General features: G+C 37.4%; 1 protein-coding gene and 1 long non-coding RNA gene across 13 annotated transcripts in view, besides 1 other annotated feature; both read left to right on the forward strand.

Annotated features, from left to right (window-relative positions):
• The window catches only part of CDKAL1 (CDKAL1 threonylcarbamoyladenosine tRNA methylthiotransferase), a 697948-nt gene that overhangs the window by 34255 nt on the left and 638283 nt on the right, over positions 1–25410 (forward strand). The window lies entirely within an intron of this gene.
• On the forward strand, positions 5093–7799 carry LOC124901273 (uncharacterized). The gene is made up of 2 exons (XR_007059491.1): positions 5093–5302; positions 7668–7799. It is a non-coding gene; the product is annotated as an uncharacterized LOC124901273 (long non-coding RNA).
• Positions 17874–18074: a silencer, noted in NCBI's record as "peak5719 fragment used in MPRA reporter construct". NCBI's record gives its function as "represses an SCP1 promoter by STARR-seq MPRAs in K562 erythroleukemia cells {active_cell/tissue: K562}" and the evidence as "EXISTENCE:reporter gene assay evidence [ECO:0000049][PMID:32103011]".

The following is a 25410-nucleotide window of genomic DNA, read 5'->3' on the forward strand; positions in this document are numbered from 1 at the left end:
GCGACAGAGCGAGACTCCGCCTCAAAAAAAAAAAAAAAACAAAAAAACAAAAAAACAAAGAAATGTGAGGTGTGAAATCCTTCTTGAACATTTTTAACTTCACTCCTCCCTATGCTGCCACTCTGCCCCCTCATCAGACTCTTCCTTAACACACTGCTGTGACCCAGATTGTCTTTATTTCTTCTTGTAGCACTTGTTAGACTCTATTGCAATTATTTATGTATTTGTCTCATTAGACTGATCTTGAGTACAGAGATGGCCCTTTATTCTTGTATTCAAAGTACCTACCACCATATTTGGCTTATAATAAGCCTCAGTGTTTGTTGAATGAATTTATATCAATATCCATGCCATTCATGAGAAACAAAACTTATTATATAGAGCATAGAGGTGGTTTCTAATTCGTGTTGCTCTTATTTTTACTGTTAGATGTAAAACGTTGAATGATTTGTTACCACTTGGCATAATTAAATTTAGCATTTTTCTAGTTTAAGTAGTTCAGTTTTTGAGACACTTTTATGAGCCTCACTATATTAATGGCCTTATTGGTGCTTTACAGATTTTGTGATTCATGGGCACTGTAAGTATAAATTTCATGCTTACAGCAATTGAATAAAATAGGCACATTGTTCTTTGTTAGTTTCTTCAGTTGGTTCTTTTAATTTTCCTGTTCTTACTGGTGATTCCTTGAGGCATCTGGCCAGTGTTGAGTATTTCTTCCTGACTCATCATCCCTTCTGCCACCTGCCAAAGGAATGCTTTTACTTTGGTCAAGAGCATTTCGAGTGAGTTAGATTTCATTATTGGTGTAGGCTATGGACCACCTGATAAGTCTAAGCATGTCATACTAATTAGCATTGACTGCCAGCCACCATAATGCTTAATTCAGGTGCTATGCTGTTTTAATTCTAAAGGTGTTGTGAAGTATGGAAAAATCCTTTACCTGAATATGAAACTAGCTACTAAATTTGGAGTTCTCTCCCTACCCCTGCAGCATTTTCCTTTGTGTGAAATTTCAGTTGATTATATTCAATTTACTTTTATATAGTCTTTCAGAATCAGTAGAATTTTTTTCCTTAGATATATCTAAGTCACTCCTTTTTGAGATGATTTAGAAAAGAGGAAATTGAGGATTGGAAGTTAAAAAGGGAGAAAGATGGCTGGTAGGTAACATGTAGAAGTTTTAACCTTTCATCTCAAGAGAGTGATTCTTCTGGGCTTTAATACGTGTATCTGAGAGCTGGGAGGAAGCTGTGTTGGAGGGTGTCTGGGACCTGGTGAGACCTCAGAAAATAAGAGTCCATCATAAAGTAAGAAAGGCATTGATGGGACTTAAAAATATTTGACTACAGCGAAAGCTTTTTATTTATTTATTTATTTTTATTTTTAATTAATTAATTTTTGTTGTTGTTGTTGAGACGGAGTCTCTGTCGCCAGGGTGGAGTGCAGTGGCATGATCTCGGTTCACTGCAACCTCTGCCTCTTGGGTTCAAGCGATTCTCCTGCCTCAGCCTCCCGAGTAGCTGGGACTACAGGCGTATGACACCACGCCCAGCTAATTTTTGTATTTTTAGTAGAGACGGAGTTTCACCATGTTGGCCAGTATGGTCTCTATCTCTTGACCCCATGATCCATCCACCTCGGCCTCCCAAAGTGCTGGGATTACAGGGGTGAGCCACTGTGCCCTGCCAATTAATTTATTTTTTTGAGACGAAGTCTCACTCTGTCGCCTAGGCTGGAGTGCAGTGGCGTGATCTCAGCTCACTGCAACCCCCGCCTCCTGGGTTCAAGCGATTCTCTTGCCTTGGCCTCCCGAGTAGCTAGGACTACAGGCATCTGCCACCACTGCCAGCTAATTTTTGAATTTTTAGTAGAGACAGAGTTTCACTGTGTTGGCCAGGCTGGTCTCAAATTCCTGACCTCAGGTGATTCAACTGCCTTGGCTTCCCAAAGTGCTGGGATTACAGGTGTGCACTGGGTCAGCTTTTTAGAATGCATTTTATCTGCTGCAAGTTAAAAGAAATTTACTAGCCTTTGAATGAAACTGTAGAAGGAAAATCCTGAATTCCTAGATATCAAGGGATGGTTAGAGAACCCCCAAAAGTGCCGTATTGATCATTACAAAAAAAAGGGTAAAATGTACCCTTATAGTCTCTTCATTTAGTGCAATATCTTTATTGTGGTAAGTTATAGATTATTGATAGGGGCTTCTATAGTTTATTTTTCTACTTTTGGTCTCCTTATCCTATCTTCCCACTAGATTAAAAAATTCTCCCCAAATATATTCTGCTGTGGGGATTTTCAGAAATGTTAGCACCCTCACTGGGGAGGAATTACCTTCTACCTGTATTTCTGGAAGGGGAAGCTTATGTGAATCTCTAAAAAGAGAATTATATTGATGTTACGAAGTAAGTACTATAGGTGAAAGAGAGAATAAGAAAAAACTCGATGTTTAAAGGAGCATCTATTGAGTTACTCTGTGCAAGGCTGACCAACTCACCTTGTGATCTTAGTCAAGCCATGTAATCTCCCTGAGCCTCAGTTTATTCATATATAAAATAAGCAAGTTGAACTCCTCTGTTCCCTGGTTCTTTGTAAATTCATTCATTCTTAGATATTCATCATAAGCCTGTTGTGTTATGTATTCAGCAGTTGAACAAGACAGATGCAGTCTTATCCTTGTAAGAAGACTTCTCTTTCCCCTATCTCTGCTGACCTGTCCTTCTCCCTGTTCTCTTATCTAGTAATTGGTTGGATAATGAGGAAGTGAAGCAATGTGAAATGCTTAATTACAAATTTGGGGACTCTGTCTGCTTTTATGGATGAAGTGGATTGACATTTTGGGGGGAAAAGTACCCTGTAAAAACATAGTTTATATATATTAAAAATGTTATTAAAATGAAAAAGTGATTTATCAGTTAGTGGTAAATTAATTGGCTGACTTGGGAGTGAAAATTATTTGACTTGGGAGACAAAATTACTCTCTAGACTGAGCTAGAGAGTAATTTTGTCTAAATTGAGGTATAGCAGATATAAAATGGAAAAGATTTATCTTTGATGTTGAGTAATTTTAAAAAATGCATTTGAGCTTCTTGGGAATAGTTACCCATCTTGATGTATTTGCTGAAGATCAGATGTAATTTTAAAAAAAATTTTTGGTAGAAAAATGTCTTTGGTATAAGTCAGGCCTATTATCTTGAGATTTATGCCTTTATTCTGGAAAATTGAAATTTTTATCTCATAAAAGAGGAAAATAATTTGAATGGAGTTAATAAAAATGAAAGGAGTAAAATTTCACTTAGAAATACAGTGAGGCATCCAAAATGAAGAAAAATCCCTTATTTGGCTTCTAGATCTAAAATGATATTCTAATCTATGCAGGTTGGTTCAAGAGCACTTTACCCCTGTTGGAGGCAGCCAGGTTAGCTTTATTGAATGTAAATCTCTGACTTCTCCCAAGATACCCATGAAAGCAACTAAATTCATTGGTTATTAGGCAGCAAGAGTAAGTTCAATTTTCTCTACACTTGTGACAATTAGAGGTTGGTTCTAGCCTGTCTAATGCTTAAGTTTCAAGGCTACCTGTATTTGAGAGCTGTTTTGGGGAGATAACCTTGTAACACATACATTTTAATGAGTACATTACTTTTACCACCTGCTGAAGTCGACTTGGAGTGACTACTGACCTGAAGTGAATGCCTGTGTTCAATATTAATATGGCATGTCTGGATCCAGACAGCAATCTTTCATTTTGACATGCACATAGTCAAAGTAAATTAATGTTTAAAACCCAAACACTTTAAGTTCAGCCAGTGTGTGCATTCCATAATAATCCTTCAGAAGCAGTTTACATAGAAATGCTGAGTGCTTTCTTATACTTTATTTATCATATGTATTGGGTCCACATTGCAGTACTTATAACGAGATTTATCCAGTGCTGTTTTTGTTCCTTGTTTTGTGGAGGCTAAAGAAGTTAATTTATTTCAGGATTTAGTCTCTGCATATTTTAAGCAAAATTATACTTAAAAATCTTCATGTGCCTGGCAAGATAGTAGTCTAATTTCAGTTATATTATTTTTAGATGGAAAAAAAAAATCAAGCTAATTGCATACTTTATTTCTGCTCAAATGATCACCAATTTTTGAAAGTATAGTAGTAGTTTAAAAAAAGAAAAAAACTAGGCCCAGATATAGTGTATGTTTGTGACTACATGTAACAAGGATATTGCTGATTTTCCTTTTCTCTCATACATACCATTTTCTAGTCTTGCTTTTATTGGTTAGAAAACATTCATGGCAGATGTAGTAATGGGGAAATTATATTAACATTTAAGTATTAAATTAGCTTGTAGCCAGAGTCTCCTTCTAATATGATGACATTTAGCAAGTTCAGGATTTTAAGGACCATGTTGCGCAACTCATTGTTACACATTTCCTGTTTGCCTTTTTTGAAAAAGTATCTGAGATCTGTTTTTTCAGATTGGAAATTTCCATTGTGGATTTCAATGTTGTTGTTGTCATTTTACCTTGCTGGTCAGTGTTTGTTATTTATGTATTAAGAATATGTAGTATAGTGACCATAATGAGAATAGTAGGTGATTGGAGTTGTATGCAAATGACAGTTTTCATAACACTTTTGCAGTTTAATTTCAACAAAAACCTCAAGTTATATTTATTAGCAAACATATTTCAGCTAAGGAGTTTTTTATGCTCCAAAAAGATGGCAGATGGAAATGAACCTAATATGTGTTCAAAGAAAGTATGCTGCATTTATTTCAAATTGTATCTGATACATCAGCATGATGATTTATATGTTGTCTTAGAATTAAAGTAGATGCCATACTTTTACTGTAAAAGTCAAAATTAGATTTCTTCTATATTTGACAGAATTTATTTTCTGTTCATAAATAAATATAGTATTTGGTTTAGGATGTAGAACATCAAATAACAACTGTTAGATTATGCTTAATATATTTATCATTTTCTGAATTTTGGATGTTCTTAACATCAGAAAAATATGTCCTTTACCCATACAGTGACTTTAGATTGGATTTGGAAGCATTGTACAGAGAAGACCTATTGTTCCTATTGAATAAGGATGCCGTACAGAGATGAGCTTTTTGACCCACTGCTCTTCCAGTAGTAATGGATTTGCACTAATTTGAGCAGAGTATGCCACTTGGTCCTGTTTTTCAGTTGTCCTGTGTGATGGCTGGCTAGCAAAATCAAACATCTGCATTTTGACTGTGGAAGGCAGTATAACTAGCTGGCTCATACTGGTTCAAATTTGCAACACTGATATGGTTAGTATTATGGTGTCACTACCTGAATTAAGTAGTTGTGGCTAAATTGTTTATATTATATGAACATATTCGTTATTATTCTGCATGGAGAATTTTTGTCCTCATGGATTGTTTCATAAAGTGTTTTATTAGCTTGGATTAATTGGAAAATAAGCTTTTTAATATGGACCTCTCCCCTAGTCAGAGACTTTGCAAATGATTTCTACAAAAATAAACTATAAAATAGATGATATAATGGGGCCTATTATTCCTGATTTGATTTTAATTTGCTTCCTTTTATAATTTTTCCACAATAAAACAGAGCCTCTCAGAAAGTAAAAGGATGTAATCCTAGCTCAGATGGTATAGGGTCCTTATGTCTTGAGCTATTATGATGGAAGGTACCCCTATACCTCCACTGATAGAAATATGATGGGCAGACATTTTCTTTGGTGAAAAGTAGTTCATAGTTTACTGTGATATCCACTCCTTGGACTTACTTTAGAGGACTGTTTACTGAGGGCAAAATATGTGCATGATTACATATAATCAAGGTTAATTTTTATCAAGGGTCACCATGTTTTTGCTATGGTCTGACAATCATGACCTACATTAAAAGAGCCCTGTGGGTCTGTCTGGTGTATTTTTGCTTGATGTCTGGGTAGTTTATTTCAGATGCTTGTCAGTTTCATTATATATTTTTGTTTGGGGCTCTTGCTGGATTTTCAGGTACACCATAAAAACAGTTCTCTTTGCAGTTAGATTGTCATGAAATAGCTTCTGTTTTATGGTATGAAAACACTCTTTAATCTTGAAGGGTGAGTAATTTTGGGAACATTTTCCATTTGGTGGTGTGTTATGTTCAAATGGTAGGTTATTTTGAAATAGGATAGACTTTGCAGCTAAGATTCCAGATTTAGTTCAGTTAATTCATTCTTTAGTGAGTTTTTCTTGGGAAAATATTTTGGAATTTTCATTTCAAATGCATCCTCCTCATTTAAGAAAAATCCAGATGAGTAGTTTATTTCACAATATAATAACTAAATAGGATTTATAAAGCAGAAATTTATAAATCCTTTCTTTTGCTGGGACAAAGGCAATGGTGAAAATTAAAAAAAAATAAAGTTAGGACATTTAGGTAACTCAAAGACAGAACTTAATGGCTGTTAAGATTGGAGTATTTGGTTTTGTAGTTTTTAAACCATATTTAATTTTGGCCATATCTATCTTATTTAGTAGTTTAAAGGATAAACAGTTCAAACAGTAAGAAAAAAGCAGTTTGTGTTTTGTCAGTTTTCAACTTTAGATATCAGTAAATCATTGCTGTAGCTTTCTTTATCTTTTGTTTGCACAAAAAACCTGTTAGAATTATGTCTGCGGGGACCATCTGCTGTGGTTCCCAGTCTTGTCAGTGTGATAAGGGATAAGCTGTATAAACAGGGGCACCACAAAAAAAAAAAAAAAAAAAAAGAAAGCAAACTGCTTTTAGAAGGGAAAAAGTATCCATTTAATTTTATAACATAGCCACAGAAATTCATATGATTTTTCTCATAATCTATCAGAATTGAGGTTGTAATATATTTTTTCAGAAACCACAGGTCCAAGTTATTTCTATGGTTTATCTTCACATTAATATTATATCTTTTTGATTACAGGGTTTCTATTTTGGAGGTCATAGCTTTTAAAAGTTCTTCGAAAATATTTCAGTATAGCACTTGACATTGCAATATTTTTCACATTGTCTGCTTAGTTTCTGGATCTTTTTTTCCCTAGCCATTAATTTTTCTTTCAGTTGAATCCTCAGAAATCATCCTTTTCCTGTTTCATTTGCAAGGAGGTCATGATGCTTCGTAAGGAACAAGGCAGTCATTTCCATGGCAACACACTCTATCAAAACATCACAAATCTGTCGTGCCCCTTACCTTTAAACTCTCAAATGCTAAGAGGAGGAGGTGTGTAAGGAGCAGCATTGTTCTTACAGCATAACTATACGATCACAAGGAGAGGGAAGTCAATTAATTGACTCAAAAGTACCTTAAGTTGACTTAGCTATAGACATATATATGTAAGGAATTTATCTTTTATATTGTATTAAACAGTGTTTTGAGGATGGAAAAATGAACATTCCAAAACTCTGATTTAAAGATCTTATTTAGTGTCTGTGAGAACTGTAAAAGAAGAATAAATAGCTGAGTTATGTCATACATGTAAACATGTTACACAGTTACTCCAGTCATGAGAAGTCTACCTTTGCCTGGAGGCCCCAGCACATGTCTCTGTCAGTCATTTTGGCTTAAGCTAGGATATTTTCAGCATGATAGTGACACCTATCTTTTAAACAAGTTCCAGAATTTTGTCAATTTTCTTTTTCTTTTTAACCATTAAGAGGAGGTGTTAGCAAGATGGCGTGACTCCTGGATATGGAATAGGAGAACAATTGGTGTTTCATCATTACTGAAAATTTTATGCTCTTTGAAATCAGGTATGAAGTATAATAAAAATCAACAGTTTTATGAGATTTTGTGGTAAAGCAATTCTTATTTTATTAACTTCAAGTCTTCTGCATTTTCAGCATTTCATTTTATTCTGTAGCATTTTTACTCCTGGGTAATGCATTTATTTGTGTGACCTGTGAAGATGGTAAATTTTGCAATGCTTAGCGCCTTCTGTTTCCCCATGTTCCTTGTAGCAAACTCTATGCTAGTCCTTATCATAGAACCTACCTATTGTACTTTAGGAGTCAGCTCACAGGACTGACACCTCCCACTTGACTGTAGCCACCTTGGAGGCAGGAGCTTGCTTTTCTCTGTGTGTGGCGTGGAGCAGGTGTTCAATAATGTTTGTTGAGAGAACAGTGGTCAGAATGAATGGAATTAGTTGTTTGTGATAATGTTTATTTTCTCTATATGGCACAGGTATATATATATTTTAATTTTTTACTGTGTATGTCTAAAATGAGGTTGAAATATGTTCTCCATACCCATTTTGTATTTAACAATTTTTTTGTAGTGTATTTTGAAATCTTGGTAGGCTATTTCCTTTTGCCTTTTCAGGCCTCCATACACTCCTATTACAAGAGGACTTCTGTCTCTGTTCCACATTTCCCTTCGTTGTTGGCGACCTAACCTTGGTGACCGCAAGCGATCGGTTGTGAGAGAAAGAGCTGTAAGTGGGGAAGGCTTTCCGAGTCTATAGGTACTACCTGGTGGCAGTATTAACACATTTTATTATGAACTATTTGACAGAGAAAAGGATTAAGAGAATAAGGACCAGTTATATATCACCTACTCAGATTTAGAAATGAAACATTACTGATATAGCTGCAGCCCTCCATGTAGGGGGCGGGGGTTAGGTGGGAGTATATTTTTCATTTTCACTTTGTACCTTTTTGCTCTACAAAAGCTTCAGACTTCAAAAGAAATCTTTCCTTGCTCTGTGCTTTCATAGTACTACCCCAGGCCTAAGTGTATTATTGAACCTGCCAGTGTATTATAACCATCTGTTCAGATGTCTGTCACCTCTACCAGGCTGTACTTCATCTTTGTATTTTCAGTACCGTACATAATAGCTAGAATGGAATAGGTGCTCAGTAAGTGCTTGTTGTGTGAATGACTGAATGAATGAATAGGTACAATTCTTTTCTCAAAATACCATGTTAATGTAGGATTCTGTTTAGCAAAACTATTTCCTTGTCTAGCCCATAGTTACAGGGCCTTGGTGCTCTGATTTGAACAAATTGAATTAAACATAAAATCCTGTAGAACAGATGCATTTACAAGTCTCTGCTCACACAGCTGCTGGTCTATTTAATAAAAACATTGCTGTTTTGATTGGGTATTCATAGCCTTTCTTTTTGTTAACTCTATTAGTATCATGGTATAAGCAGACTACAGTCTAGGGAAGATGAGTGGAAGAATGAGCCAGTGATCAGAACTCAGAGAGACAATAGGAGATGGATGTCAAGAAGATGGATGGGGAAAATGTTTTAGTCTTAGGTGTAGTTACAATAAAAAGAACAAATACATGTATTTGTCTTCCCTGGACTATATGTCATAAATCTCTGACTCCATATTTCTTATGCAGTTATTGTAACCTTCCTTCCCCTAAACCACCTAAGTATGTATAACATTCCTACTCTAAATTACAAAAAATCGATACTGATGCATTTGCTTTTTAAATTTTTAAAAATTCAGGTATAATTTATATCCAATAAAATGCATAGATCTTAAGCATTCAGTTGAGTGAATTTTTTTTCCCATTTATGCACCTATGTAAACACTACCCCAAACAAGGTAGGGGATATTTCCATCACCCCAGAAAAATTTTTCCTACCTCTCTCCCATCAACCCTCCTTTTCCCTTCCCCTCCCCTCTGCAGCAGCCACTTTCTGATTCTGATTTCACTTGTTCTTGGGAGTCATATGAATGGACTCATAGTATGTACTTTTATGTCTGGCTTCTTTTATTCAAGATACTGTTTTTGGATTCATCCATGTTGTTGCATGTATAAATTCGATTTGCTTCTAGCAACAGAAATGTGTATACTAGCAATCAAATACAAATTTACTTTTACCTTAAAGTTGAGAGATTGAGTAGTGCTTTTTTAAGAGGATTGTTAGTAGACTTCCACAGCAACTCACATATATTGAGTGCCAGTCCCTACGCTCAGTGCTTTACACACATTATCTTATTTAATTGTGTTTTGTGATTGTTTGTTTAGTTGTTTACTTAATTCTCTACGGCAGACATGTTCGGTGAAAGCATTGACATCTGATGAAGAAGTTGACTTGGTGTTTGACAAAAGAAACTGTCTTGTGATATAAAATTCTGATTGTTTTCTCAGGACTAAGTACTAAGCATTGTTTATGGCAGGCATCGATGAGCTTAAATCATGAAACAGGAGGAAAAGTGTAAAAGGACAATGGAAGAGAGTTACTGGGTGGGAAAGAAAGAAGTGCAGTAGCTAGTTTAGATTCGTCTTATACAATCTGTGATGAAACTTTTGAGACAGAGTCTCGCTCTGTTGCCCAGGCTGGAGTGCAGCAGCGCAATCTCGGCTCACTGCAACCTCTGCCTCCTGGGTTCAAGCGATTCTCCTGGCTCAGCCTTCCGAGTAGCTGGCATTACGGGCCTGCACCACCATGCTTGGCTAATTTTTGTATTTTTTTGGTAGAGACAGGGTTCAACTTGTTGCCCTGGCTGGTCTCGAACTCCTGACCTGAAGTGATCCACCTGCTTCAGCCTCCCAAAGCACTGGGATTACAGATGTGAGCCACTGAGCCCGGCAAAGTTGCCTTTCTTCATAGAAGAAAGTTGCAAAATATACATGAATGAAAGTATATTACATACAATACGGATGCCTGAAAAAAAGCATATGTAAATTGTGCTTAGCCTCTCAAAGATGCTTGTAATCAGTGCCCTTATTTTTGTTCAGAATTATATCAACCTAGTTTTGAGTTTTTACATATAGCTTTTGTTTTACCAGCACATATGTAATACCTGTTATGGTGCCAGTTCATTGTCCTAATTGCTTTATGTATATTAATTCTCAAAACTCTGTGAAGTGGGAATTTTTTCTGTTTTTTAGTCCCTGTTTTCCCCATGAGGATACTGATGTAATACGAAGTTAAAGAACTGGACCAGAGTCACATAGGTAGTGCAAGTGGGGCTGGAATTCTAACCTGGCTGGTCTGATTTCAGAGCCCGTGCTCTTAATCACTGCACCGTGTGCCTCAGCCTCCCCTCTCCCTAACATGCTCCTCATTCGTCCTTGATCCTAGGGATGATGCTGGTTGAGTATTTCAAGGTTTGTAAAGATTGACAGTATCAAAACAGATGTAGCAACTGGGACTTTGATAATTTCTATAATTCACAAAATAGATCTTAAAATTGCATAGTTCTGTTTTTTGTAGGGGAGGGAAGGATATGTAGGAAGGGATGATTTATAATTTGAAATCTGGCAGCAGTAGAGCACGTACCTTAAGCCTCAGCAAAGCTAATTACATAACCAATTTTGTGCTTATTCAAGGCTGTATTTATAGTAGATTGGTGTTTCTGGGCTAGTTGGTCGTAGACCCTGGGAGTGAGAGACCATAGGGACGGTCTGTGAATGTACGTATGTTTGAATTAGGCAATGGCAATTGGAAGTATTTTATTACCACATGAGGTCCTGGTACTCAGATTGGGCACACCTGCAGTAGGTTGTTGACATTTGTGAATCTAACATTTGGGGTTTCAATTATTTTCAAGCCCCCAGAAAGTCCATGACATTCAGTAGTTTGTTATGAAAATAATATCAGTTTCATAGAGTTGTGGGGTTCTGAGAATTAAATAAAAATAATGTGTGTAGGCGTTAGCTGCTGGAAGGCTGGAATACAGATTCTAGTCATTTGGTGAGTGAGTGAACCTAGCAGAGGTCCTCCCGTGTCTGCTTGTGACATTCTGCATTTGGGAGTCTCAGGATGCATCAGTGACTGTGCTGTCGGTGCACTATTATGGCCACTTCTCATCCTTGCTGGACTGTGAGTCTTCTCTAGACTCAGGGCTTCAGAGTTACTTCTGCCCCTGTGTCCTTCATGGAACACTTACTTTTTACTTCTGTTTGGTCTTTCAATATAAAGTTCCTTTATTTTTAATTACCAAACTTCCCTCTCCAGGTTATAAGTAAGGTGGTTTTTGGCCATCACCTTTCTTAGCTATGGGTTAAAGCATTCTGGGTACTATTTTCTCCTTTTTATCACCATGCCATAGCCCTTGTGTCTCTCCCTTCAACTCATGGTTAGGTTGGTTTCATTGGCACTTTACTTTTTTTTTTTTAGATGGAGTTTCGCTTTTGTTGCCCAGGCTGAAGTGCAATGGTGCGATCTCGGCTTACTGCAACCTCCATCTCCTGGGTTCAAGCGATTCTCCTGCCTCATCCTCCTGAGTAACTGGGATTATAGGCATGCGCCACCACGCCCGGCTAATTTTGTATTTTTAGTAGAGATGGGGTTTCTTCATGTTGGTCAGGCTGGTTTCGAACTCCCGACCTCAGGTGATCCGCCCACCTTGGCCTCCCAAAGTGCTGGGATAACAGGCGTGATACTTTTAATTTTTAAACCTTAAAATACATTATTAATTTTTCCAAGAGAAGCCCCGATATTTTTGTAGCTTGGCCTCCAGAGCCTCAGTTATCCCTGATGTAGTAGATCATCTCTTTGCTTCCAACTAAAGTGGAGCATTGGATGTTGTTTGTTAAGGAGTGATTTTCCCATTTACTAACTCATAAAATTTGCTGACTGTGTTTTTTGGTAAGAAGTCTTATAATGCTTTCAATTTCATAAGAGTCATTTTCATAGAGTCCATGCAATATACACTTAGAGTGTAAAAGATACTGAGTTAGATGCTGTAGGGGCTCCAGAAATGAAGTCCTGTCTTTCATTCTTACAAAGTGTTCATCCTTTTAAGTTCCTTGTTAATGTTTGGGGCAAACTAAATATAATTTTTTGGTTAGACTTTAGGTAAATATTTGAAGAAAAATTTTATATGCTATATTAAATTTTTATTTTATCACAAGTTTCATTAACTTTCACTTTTAATGCCATTCTTTATGAAATGTCAGTGTTAAAGTGACCCCAGTAGTGTGACAGGCAAAAGGGTCAGTAATGATGGCTTCTTTAGTAGCCTTCAGAACTGAGCAGTTTGAGATTAACAGCCAATATGAACTGCCTGCAGTAATCATTAAAATATAATCTCCAGTTTTGGTATGATTTTACGTATCTATAATTTATAATAAATGTCTTGAAGTTGCAGGTTTTTTTCCTTTGCAATGAATCAATAAATTATGTCACAACCCTTAACCCCAAGTTTTTGCTTTAGCAATTCAGGATAATGCCAAAAACTTACTTAGCTTTTAGTCTGTGCCAGGCATTGTTCTGAACAAGGTACATACAATGCTGTCTTGTAGACCCTGGATTTGGAAAGCCCCCAATCCCTTTATAAAGCATATGTATAAGTTGTATAGATAAGTGTATTTTCAAAAGTAAACATATAAAAATTCATAATTGATATTTGAGGATCAAATATTTTCCTCATTTATGTATCTAACCCACAAAAATTTAATTGTTTATAAGACATTTTATGGAGACCTTTACATTTATATGAAGTAAAATTTAATATGTTCCTTAACTATCCAATATATTTGAGTATCTGTGAGATATGCTATGTGCTGAGGGATACAATTAAAAAATAGAAAAGATTTGATTCTTGTCTTTATTTTTTCAATTATTTCAGGTGGCAAACACAGATGGTCACAATATAATGTGACACCTCCATTTTCCCAATGAGAATATTAAATAAATTGTTTTGACTAACTTGAATATGTAAACTTTAGAGATGAAGATGAATTTCTGTATATTTATTTAAGTTATACATACATATTTAAAATAGCATTATATGAGATAATTTTCAAATGTAACTCTTCTCTCCTGGCTTTTCATGAAGCAATTTTATCTAAACTCTTCAAATGCATCTTTGACATATGAGGGTTTTTTTCCTCTCTAGAACCTCTTTTTGAGTTGTCTGACACAGTTTTCTACGGTTCCATTTGAATTGTCTGAAATCCAACCTATTTTGAATCTATTTACGTTGTGGTCACTGGAAATTTTCTCTCAGGAGCCCCTCCATTCTCATTATTAAAGATCAGTTGGTTTTCTTTTTCCTCCTGTAGAAGCATGTATGTTGATCTCTGTAGTGTAGGCACTTATTATAATACTTAAAAAAAGTCATTTTTGCAAGGCTTGTTTACAATGAAATCCAATATTTGCCAATGTGAGGCAATATCCCTAGGAGTTAAATCTGTGTTAAATCTCATCGCAGCTTTTACTGCAATTTTTACTGATTCAGATGATTGTTTCTGGGGGACTTCTCTAAGCTTCCACAGATCCTGTTACTTAGGGTAATGTCTTCTCCAAGTGATACTCTGTTATTCAAAGTAGGACTGGAGAGAGTAAAAAGAGGTTCTGGTAATAAGAAAGACTTTCTATGGACTTTATTAATAGAAATAGAAAACAATTTCCTATTTTCTGAGGGATTTTTTTTGGGAAAAGTAAACTTTGCCTTACACTTGGGCATTTGTTGAGTTGCCAGCTAACATCTCTTAGCGGGGAGTTGGTAGATAGGTTCTATTTAACCCAGTGTTTTTCATGCTGTTCTATTCACCACTGCATACTGCTTTGCCTTGCCGTGAAGTGTACTCTTTTTACCCAATTCCTCATTTTCATATTTCTGTTTTCATAGTATCTTGTTAGACTTTTACTTCTTGAGTCAGATGAAGAAAACTTAATCAGTATTGATGTCTTCAGTATCATAAATATCTGTAACTCTTACTTTGAATGTAAGAGTAATGTTCTGATTACTGCTAAGATTCTACCAAATTGACTTTCAGTACATATTGATGTATTTCTGGAATGAATGTTCCTGTGATCTTGGCTTGCAGATGAAAACCTTAATATTTGAATCAGACTGGTGCAATGTGGAAAGACAAAATACACACTTGAAATATTTGCATGATAATCTACGGAACAAAAACATTTAGTGGGAGTGGTGGTAGAACGTTTCCAGGATCAACACTTGAATGCTGTGAGAGAACTATTTTTTTTTTTAATGGATGGCAGGTGGCAGAGTTGAAAAACAGGTTTTTATAATGGAAATGCTAAGAGTCTTAGCTATAGGAGTATGAATGGTATTGTTACAATAGATATAATAGATGTATTGCATTATCTTATCTCATCAGACACTTTTGTTAGTAAAAGCGCCCCCCCCCACTAGTTTCAGTCTGCTCTTGCAGAGAATCACTCCTCTCAACAATTTTTGCTACTTACAAAATTTTTGAGATTCAAGATATCTTTAATCTGTCGAGTTTCAGCAGATTTAATAAGCATAAATTTATTTTATTAAAAATATTTTAAGTCAGGAAAGTAAGTATAGGAAACAGACCAGATGTAATTCAGATTACAGGATCTGGATTTGCCCCTTTAATGAATGTCAGCTATGCTGGCAATATTCTGCTGGTTTCCTTTTTTTTTTTTTTTTTAACATTACTACTCATATTTCACATTTGATTTGTTTTCAATATCCTTACTCTTAGGAAGGGGCTTAGGAAATTGAATTACATTTTATATGTTTAGTTCCTAATCTCATTCTTATTTTAATACCTGTTCAGATTCTTAAGGCTTTTTGTAAATAGGGGTCTGTGGTGTCTGTAAGTCTGGGGGCCTAGGAGGGAGTCTCACACAGGAGTCCGGTTTGATCACAGTGGATAGGGTACTCTACAGTGTGCTTAAAGGCAAGGGGGCTCTAAGAAAGAGCAGCCCTGGTCAGTGTGTTCTGAGAAAGCAGGGCAGTGTCTGAGAGGTGAGTTAAAATAGGAGTGAGTAGTCACCATTTTGGGATATTAGACAGGAAGTGCTTTCTGTACATGCAGGCTGGAAATGCACACAACCCTCCTGCCCCATCCGTGAGCAGTCCAGTGTGGGGAGAGGAAGGAAGGTGGGATGTGGTTGGTCATAACTGTGATCCCTTTTCTTCTCTATAATGCTGAGTGTTCACAATTGAGAACTGACTGGTGAGTCCTTGGTGAGTTAAGGCTTAAGCTGAGGTCCCTGGGTAGTTAGGTAGTTCTAAGAATGTATTTGTTCAATAGAACTTTTGAATAACTTCACTTAGCTAGCTTGTTAGTGCTAGGAACCCAAAGATGACAAACAGCCCATTCCTCTGAAAAACTGTGACTCTGGTGAGGTGCATAGTTATTTAGACCTGCCGGATGAGAATACCACTTTTCCCCGCACCAAATCTACCTGCTGGAGTGAATTTATTTCATGTAGACTCTGAGGTCCCTCTGTTGCTTTTGATAACGTGCTCTCATCTGAGGCCAGCTCCGTTACTTGTATACTCATCCTGTCTCCCCCGCCAAGGTCATTGCTCCTGCAGTTTTCTGCTTTCTCTGTTGGATCATTTTCCTTCTTTGCTGGATCATTCCTATCATCAAACATTCTGTGATATATCCTACCTTAAGCTAATCTTGTTTCTTTTTTTTTTTTTTTTTGAGACGGAGTCTCGCTCTGTCGCCCATGCTGGAGTGCAGTGACATGATCTCGGCTCACTGCAAGCTCCGCCTCCCGGGTTCACACCATTCTCCTGCCTCAGCCTCCCCAGTAGCTGGGACTACAGGCGCCCACCACCATGCTAATTTTTTTTTATTTTTAGTAGAGATGGGGTTTCACCGTGTTAGCCAGGATGGTCTCGATCTCCTGACCTCGTGATCCGCCCGCCTTGGCCTCCCAAAGTGCTGGGATTACAGGCGTGAGCCACTGCGCCCGGCCGATAATCTTGTTTTTTGACACCACATTCTTACTCTCCAACTTCCTGATACCACGTTCTTCCTCTCCAACTATTCCATTTTTTTCTTTCTCTGTAATAGCAAAATTCCTTGGAAGGACCTGCTGCTTCTCTTTCTGTTTCTAGTTCACTCTACGGAGGCCCTTTTACTTGAAAGTGCTCTCATCAAGTTCACCAATGACCTTTGCTTGGCCAAATGCAAATGCCACTTCTCAGTCCTTATCTTATATAGTCTTTGTTTGTTAGCATTTGCCACAGCTTTTCACTCTTTCCTTCTGGAAATACTGTGGCCTTCTGGACACTACTCCCCCTTGCTTATTGGTTCTCTTCCTATTTCACTGGCTGCCCCTTCAGTCATCTTTGCTGGTTCCTTCTTATCATACCGAAATGTTGGAGCATCCCCAAGGCACTTTGTTTTACTTTTCCACCTATACTCACTTATTTGGGTTTTTATAGAGTCCCATAGCTTTTAGGTACTTTCTCTATGCTGATGCTTTTTTTTTTGGAACCCTGGGCTCTCTGCTTACATATCATCTGAATTTGGATCTTTAAAAGGCATGTCTATTTACCATGTCCAAAACTACTAATCTCCCCCACAAATCTGTTGCTCCATGTTCTTCATATCTCAGTAAAAGGATTCTGAGTCTTTTCAGTTGCTTGAGCCAAAGACTTTGGAGTCAAGGATAACTACTTGTTTCCACATCACACACTGAGTCTATCAGCAAATCCTGCTGGCTCTACCTTTAAGCATATCCATAATCCTATCATTTTTATCACCTTCACTTAGGCTACCACTGTGGTCTAAGCCAGCATCATCTTGCCTGGATTATAATAGTTACCTGTTTTATCTCCTAGCTTTTCCCTCAACCATCTGTTTTCCACACAGTGATCAGAGATTCTTCGAAACCTAAGTCAGATTATTTTACTTTTCTGCTCAAAATTCACAATGCTGTCTAGTACAACTTTCTGCAAAAATGGAAGTGCTCGGCCAGGCACAGGGTGGCTCACTCATGTAATCCCAGCACTTTGGGAGGCCAAGGTGGGTGGATCACCTGAGGTCAGGAGTTCGAGAACAGCCTGGCCAATGTGGTGAAACCCCATCTCTACTAAAAATACAAAAATTAGCCAGGCTTGGTGGCCAGTGCCTATAATCCCAGCTACTTGAGAGGCTGAGGCAGGAGAATCACTTGAACCTGGGAGGCGGAGGTTGCAGTGAGCCGAGATCACGCCACTGCACTCCGGCCTGGGTGACGAGTGAAACTCTATCTCAAAACAAACATAAAAAAAGGAAGTGCTCTAATCTGTGCTAATATGGTAGCCACTGGCCATGTGTCTGTTAAGTACTTCAGATCCGGCTAGTGCAACTGAGGCACTGAATTTTAAATTTTATTTTAATTGATTTAAATGTAAATATCCACATGAGTGGAAGCCAAGATTTATATCATGTTCTGAGGTTTACAAAGGCCAGATGAAGTGAACACCTTTTCTACTTCTCTTGACTTCATCTCCTGCTACCACTGCCGCCCTCATTTTCTTGCTCTTCTTTGAATATACCAAGCATATGCTTGCACTTGCTATTCCCTCATGCCTGGAATGTTCTTCCTCCAGGTGTTTTTTTTTTTTTTTTTTTTTTTTTGAGACGGAGTTTTGCTCTTTTTGCCCAGGCTGGAGGGCAATGGCAAGATCTCGGCTCACTGCATCCTCTACCTCCCGGGTTCAAGTGATTCTCTTGCCCCAGCCTCCTGAGTAGCTGAGATTACAGGCGCGTGCCACCACGCCCCGCTAATTTTTGTATTTTTAGTAGAGACGCGGTTTTGCCATTTTGGCCAAGCTGATCTCGAACTCCTGACCTCAGGTGATCCACCTGCCGCAGCCTCCCAAAGTGCTGGGATTACAGGCATGAGCTACCACGCCTGGCCTCCTTCTTTTCATTTTAGGGGATGAGAGTTCGAAGCTAACAGATAATAAAACTTATAAATTATCTACAAACCAAGAATCTGAATTGTTGAAATTTTCACTTTACAAGAGAAGATCTAGTTAGGTTTATATGATAATCTTGAACTGCTACAAAACAGATGCTGTGGGCTGGGCATGGTGGCTCATGCTTGTAATCCCAGCACTTTGAGAGGCTGAGGTGGGAGGATCGCTTTAGCCCAGGAGTTTGCCACCAGCGTGGGCAGCGTAGTGAGACCCTATCCTTACAAAAAATTAAAAAATTAGCTGGGTGTGGTGGTGCCCACCTGTAGTCCCAGCTACTCTGGAGGCTGAGATGGCAGGATTTCTTGAGCCCCAGATTTTGAGGCTGCAGTGAGCCATGATCATGCCACTGTACTCCAGCCTGGGCAACAGAGTGAGACCCTGTCTGAAAACAAACAAACAAACAAACCGCCCCCCTCAAAAAACCAACTCAATACACCAGAACCAAAAACCAAAAAAAACCCCCAGAAGTTGGGTACTGTGGCTCATGCTTGTAATCCCAGCACTTTGGGAGGTTAAGTTGGGCAGATTGCTTGAGCCCAGGAGTTCGAGACCAGCCTGGGCAACATAGCGAGACCCTGTTTCTATGAAAAATATAAAAATTTAGCCAGGCATGGTGGCATGCACCTATGGTCCCAGCTGCTAAGGAGGTTGAGTGGGAGGATGGCTTGAAGCCTGGGAGGTGGAAGTTGCTGTGAGGCAAGATCATGCCACTGCACTCCAGCCTGGGCGACAGAGCAAGACCCTGCCTCAAAACAAAACAAAATAAAACAAAAACACCACAAAAACCAACCAAACAAAAAATTGTTGCTGTGGGAATATTTGATGGGTTTAATACTTGTTAATATCCAGTAGAGATAATTAAGGCTGATCCTTGATTCCCTTTCCCTAGCATTTTATTGTGGTTCATTTAGGTGTTCTCAATGTTGAGTGAACTTTTCAAAAATACTCTTCCTTCTCTATAACCCAAAGAGTATATTCTTCAAAGCTACCTTCTACATGACTCCCTCACCCAAAAATTCATCTTTGTTTCTAGCAGCCTACGCTACTCATTTCTTTGAGCCCACCTTTGAATTTAGGACTTGTAAAATTATAAACATTTATAAATGTTTGATCTCTATGTCCATGGAACAGCTTTAAAAATCTTCTTTAATCTCTGAGATGAGGCAGTCAAGAATAAGGCATCTTCGATTACAGAATCTCTTTGAAGTTTTCTTTCTATTTCAGGTTTTCCCTCTAGCACTCCTACGTTCGGTAGCTCTAAGGTGGATTTTTTTAATTAATCTTTTTCCTTTTTGCTTAGGTATCCTTGGCAGTCTTTCAAAAGTTAAGAGGCAACATTAGTAAAATTATACTTTCAAACTTTATCATTTTCGAACTCTGTTTCTCTAGTAAGTTAATGAGCTAGAGACCTCCTTTTAAAATAATCTCATCTATTTTACATTTTAATGCTGTTTCTGTTGTAGATATTACAGTCCTAAAAATGTGTTATTTTCTTAGAGTAGACTGGAAAGCTCAAATTAATCAATATGTCTCCAGCCTAGCTACCATCCATTTCTGTTTTATAGGATTATATACTTGTTTATTTTATAAAATGGAAAGTTTGAAATCTTATAATATTTTCATTTATGGTTTTATGTGAATCAAACAGTCTTGGTTCAGGTGATTTAAAAATATCACTACAAAAAGGAGATATCTTGCTTATTTTTCATTCATGTAGTCCTGTGTGAAATTATTGGTGGTCTTTCTGTCTCCGTGAACATCTGCAGCCACACAGAGAAATTTTATTTGCCTTTTGTTATCAGATTCACATATTATGAATGTTGAGGCTAGATATCATTGATATCATTGATTAGAACCATTAAAATACTAAAGATACTAGTAAAGAAAAAGATACTAATGACAAAAAAATACTAATCTTGCATATTAATCTTGTTTTTACTTCAGTGTTAGTAAAAACACTAGTAAAAAGCAGTTAGTTACTTCCTTTTTATTTTGTATTTGACATTACACACACATGTTCTGCACGTTCTGAGAAGAAAGTGTCAGATTGCTTCCTGTTTGAGTTTAGATGCAATCGCTAGTCTTGCTGAAAGCCAATGAAATTGAAAGGCTTAGCTTTGTAAGTAGAATTTCTGTTTCTTTAACTCTATAGTTGATAATATTGTTTCTCAAGTTTCCTTTGGTAGGTATTCTCAGGGAACGTTCCAGGATCTTGTAATACTTCTTGTTTGATTAGAAAATGATTCATTACGTGCCTTTCAGCTCTTTAGGAAAGTGGACGGCCTTCACATCAGTGGGATTGAATTCAGAAAAAGAACATACTACTAAAAGTACTTTTGTAATTATTTTATTAGTTTTTCTCATATTATTAGTTTTTCTCATATTTCAGTGAAATTTCTTATATTATTAGTTTTTCTCATATTCAGTGAAGTGCTAAAAATGATGTCCAAATTTATGTTTAAAGTTTCACAGAGTTATACACTGACTTTAAAATTGCATTGCTTTATTTTAAGGATTAGAGAAATGGTAGTGCACGGGTTAAGAATTTGGGTGATGGCACCAGGCTGTGTAAGTCCAAGAGCCACTTTGCTTGCCATGTGACTTTGAGAAAGCTGTTCCATCTCTTTGTCCCCAGTTTTCTCATTTATAAAATGAGGATAATAGTGCTTATTCCATATGACAGTTATAAGTAGTAAATGAATTTAAATGAAAATATTTAAGGTACTTAAAAGTGCTCATATAAGTAGTAGGCTGCTTATTGTATTGTACTAATATTAATGAAGTATTAACAGTTGTTAATACTGTGTTTTAATTCTTGCTCTTTCATTTGATAGTCATATGACTGTCCCCAGGTTACTTTACTTTCAGTCTCATTTTTCATCTTTAAAAACAAGATTATATTATGTTGTATCTAATAAGGCCATCATGATGATTCTAGACTAGATATGCAAATTACCTACTATGCACAGAGTAAGGGCACCATAATTTTATTTTTTTGTTTTTATTTTTTATTTATTTTATTATACTTTAAGTTCTGGGATACATGTGCAGAATGTGCAGGTTTGTTCAAAACATAGGTATACACGTGCCACGGTGGTTTGCTGCACCCATCAACCCATCATCTACATTAGGTATTTCTCCTAATGCTATCCCTCTCCTAGCCCCCCACTCCCCAACAGCCCCCGGTGTGTGATGTTCCCCTCCCTGTGTCCATGTGTTCTCATTGTTCAACTCCCACTTATGAGTGAGAACATGCAGTGTTTGGTTTTCTGTTCGTGTGTTAGTTTGCTGAGAATGATGGTTTCCAGCTTCATCCATGTCCCTGCAAAGGACATGAACTCATCCTTTTTATGGCTGTATAGTATTCCATGGTGTATATGTGCCACATTTTCTTTATCCAATCTATCATTGATGGGCATTTGGGTTGGTTCCTAGTTTTTGCTATTGTGAAAAGTGCTGCAATAAACATACATGTGCATCTGTCTTTATTGTAGAATGATTTATAATCCTTTGGGTGTATACCGAGTAATGGGGTTGCTGGGTCAAATGGTATTTCTGGTTCTAGATCCTTGAGGAATTGCCACACTGTCCTCCACAATGGTTGAACTAATTTACACTCCCATCAACAGTGTAAAAGCGTTCCTATTTCTCGACATCCTCTCTGGCATCTGTTGTTTCCTGACTTTTTAATGATCGCCATTCTAACTGGCATGAGATGGTATCTCATTGTGGTTTTGATTTGCATTTCTCCAATGACCAGTGATGATGAGCTTTTTTTCATATGTTTGTTGACCACATAAATGTCTTCTTTTGAGAAGTGTCCGTTCATATTCTTCGCCCACTTTTTGATGGGGTTATTTTTTTCTTGTATATTTGTTTAAGTTCTTTGTAGATTCTGGATATTAGCCCTTTGTTAAATGGATAGATTGCAAAAATTTTCTCCCATTCTGTAGGTTGCCTGTTCACTCTGATGATAGTTTCTTTTGCTGTGCAGAAGCTCTTTAGTTTAATTAGATCCCATTTGTCTATTTTGGCTTTTGTTGTCATTGCTTTTGGTGTTTTAGTCATGAAGTCTTTGCCCATTCCTGTGTCCTGAATGGTATTGCCTAGGTTTTATTCTAGGGTTTTTATGATTTTAGGTCTTACGTTTAAGTCTTTAATCCATCTTGAGTTAATTTTTCTATAAGGTGTAAGGAAGGGGTCCAGTTTCTGTTAGGGGTCCAGTTTCAGTTTTTTGCATATGGCTAACTAGTTTTCCCGACACCATTTATTAAATAGGGAATCCTTTCCCCATTTCTTGTTTTTGTGAGCTTTGTCAAAGATCAGATGGTTGTAGATGTGTGGCATTATTTCTGAGGCCTCTATTCTGTTCCGTTGGTCTATATATCTGTTTTGGTACCAGTACCATGCTGTTTTGGTTACCGTAGCCTTGTAGTATTGTTTGAAGTCAGGTAGCCTGATGCCTCCAGCTTTGTTCTTCTGCTTAGGTTTGTCTTGGCTATACGGGCTCTTTTTTGGTTCCAGATGAAATTTAAAGTAGTTTTTTCTAATTGTGTGAAGAAAGTCAATGGTAGCTTGATGGAGATAGCATTGAATCTATAAATTACTTTGGATAGTATGGCCATTTTCATGATATTGATTCTTCCTATCCATGAGCATGGAATGTTTTTGCATTTGTTTGTGTCCTCTCTTATTTCCTTGAGCAGCGGTTTGTAGTTCTCCTTGAAGAGGTCCTTTACATCCCTTGTAAGTTGGATTCCTAGGTATTTTATTCTCCTTGTAGCAATTGTGAATGGGAGTTCACTCCTGATTTGGCTTTCTGTTTGTCTGTTATTGGTGTATAGGAATGCTTATGATTTTTGCACATTGATTTTGTATCCTGAGACTTTGCTGAAGTTGCTTATCAGATTAAGAAGTTTTTGGGTTTTCTGAATATACAATCATGTCATCTGCAAACAGAGGTAATTTGACTTCCTCTCTTCCTATTCGAATACCCTTTATTTCTTTCTCTTGGCTGATTGCCCTGGCCAGAACTTCTAATACTATGTTACTATGTTGAATAGGAGTGGTGAGAGAGGGCATCCTTGTCTTGTGTGGTTTTTCAAAGGGAATGCTTCCAGCTTTTTTTTTTTTTTTTTTGAGACAGAGTCTCACCCTGTTGCCCAGGCTGGAGTGCAATGGTGCAATTTCGGCCCACTGCAACCTTCACCTCCTGGGTTCAAGCGATTCTCCTGCCTCAGCCTCCCACGTGGCTGGGATCACAGGCATGTGCCACCATGCCTGGCTAATTTTTTGTATCCTTAGTAGAGATGGGGATTCACCATGTTGGATGGGCTGTCTAGAACTCCTGACCGTGTGATCCACCCGCCTCGGCTTCCCAAAGTGCTGGGATTACAGGTGTGAGCCGCTGTGTTTGGCCTCAGCTTTTGCCCATTCAGTTTGGTATTGGCTATGGATTTGTCATAAGTAGCTCTTATTATTTTGAGATAGGTTCCATCAATACCTAGTTTATTGAGAGTTTTTAGCATGAAGGGGTGTTGAATTTTATCGAAGGCCTTTTCTGCATCTATTGAGATAATCATGTGTTTTTTGTCATTGGTTCTGTTTATGTGATGGATTACATCTATTGATTTGCGTATGTTGAACCAGCCTTGCATCCCAGGGATGAAGCCGACTTGATCGTGGTGGATAAGCTTTTTGATGTGCTGCTGGTTTTGGTTTGCCAGTATTTTATTGAGGATTTTTGCATCAATGTTCATCAGGGATATTGGTCTGAAATTTTCTTTTTTTGTTGTGTCTCTGCCAGGTTTTGGTATCAGGATGATGCTGGCCTCATAAAATGAGTTAGGGAGGAGTCCTTCTTTTTCTGTTGTTTGGAATAGTTTCAGAAGGAATGGTACCAGCTCCTCTTTGTACCTCCAGTAGAATTCGGCTGTGAATCCATGTGGTCCTGGGCTTTGTTTTGGTTGGTAGGCTATTAATTACTGCCTCAATTTCAGAACTTGTTATTGCTGTGCTCAGGGATTTGACTTCTTTCTGGTTTAGTCTTGGGAGGGTGTATGTGTCCAGGAATATATCCATTTCTTCTACAGTTTCTAGTTTATTTGCTTAGAGATATTTATAGTATTCTCTGATGATAGTTTGTATTTCTGGGGGATCAGTGGTGATCTCCCCTTTATCATTTTTTATTGCGTCTATTCGATTCTTCTCTCTTTTCTTCTTTATTAGTTTGGCTGGTGGTCTATTTCATTAATCTTTAAAAAAAAAAAAAGAAACCCAGCTCCTGGATTCATTGATTTTTTGAAAGGTTATTTGTCTCTCTATCTCCTTCACTTCTGCTCTGATCTTAGTTATTTCTTGTCTTCTGCTAGCTTTTGAATTTGTTTGCTCTTGCTTCTCTAGTTCTTTTAATTGTGATGTTAGGGTGTCAATTTTAGATCTTTCCCACTTTCTGCTGTGGGCATTTAGTGCTATAAATTTCCCTCCAAACACTGCTTTATCTGTGTCTTAGAGATTCTGGTACGTTGTGTCTTTGTTCTCATTGGTTTCAAAGAACTTATTCATTTCTGCCTTAATTTTGTTATTTACCCAGAGTCATTCAGGAGCAGGTTGTTCAGTTTCCACGTAGTTGTGTGGTTTTGAGTGAGTTTCTTAATCCTGAGTTCTAATTTGATTGCACTGTGGTCTGAGAGACTGTTTGTTATGATTTCTGTTCTTTTGCATTTGCTGAGGAGTGTTTTACTTCCAATTATGTGGTCAGTTTTAGAGTAAGTG

This window comes from Homo sapiens, chromosome 6 (assembly GCF_000001405.40).
Source record: "Homo sapiens chromosome 6, GRCh38.p14 Primary Assembly".
NCBI classification, from domain to species: Eukaryota; Metazoa; Chordata; class Mammalia; order Primates; family Hominidae; genus Homo; species Homo sapiens.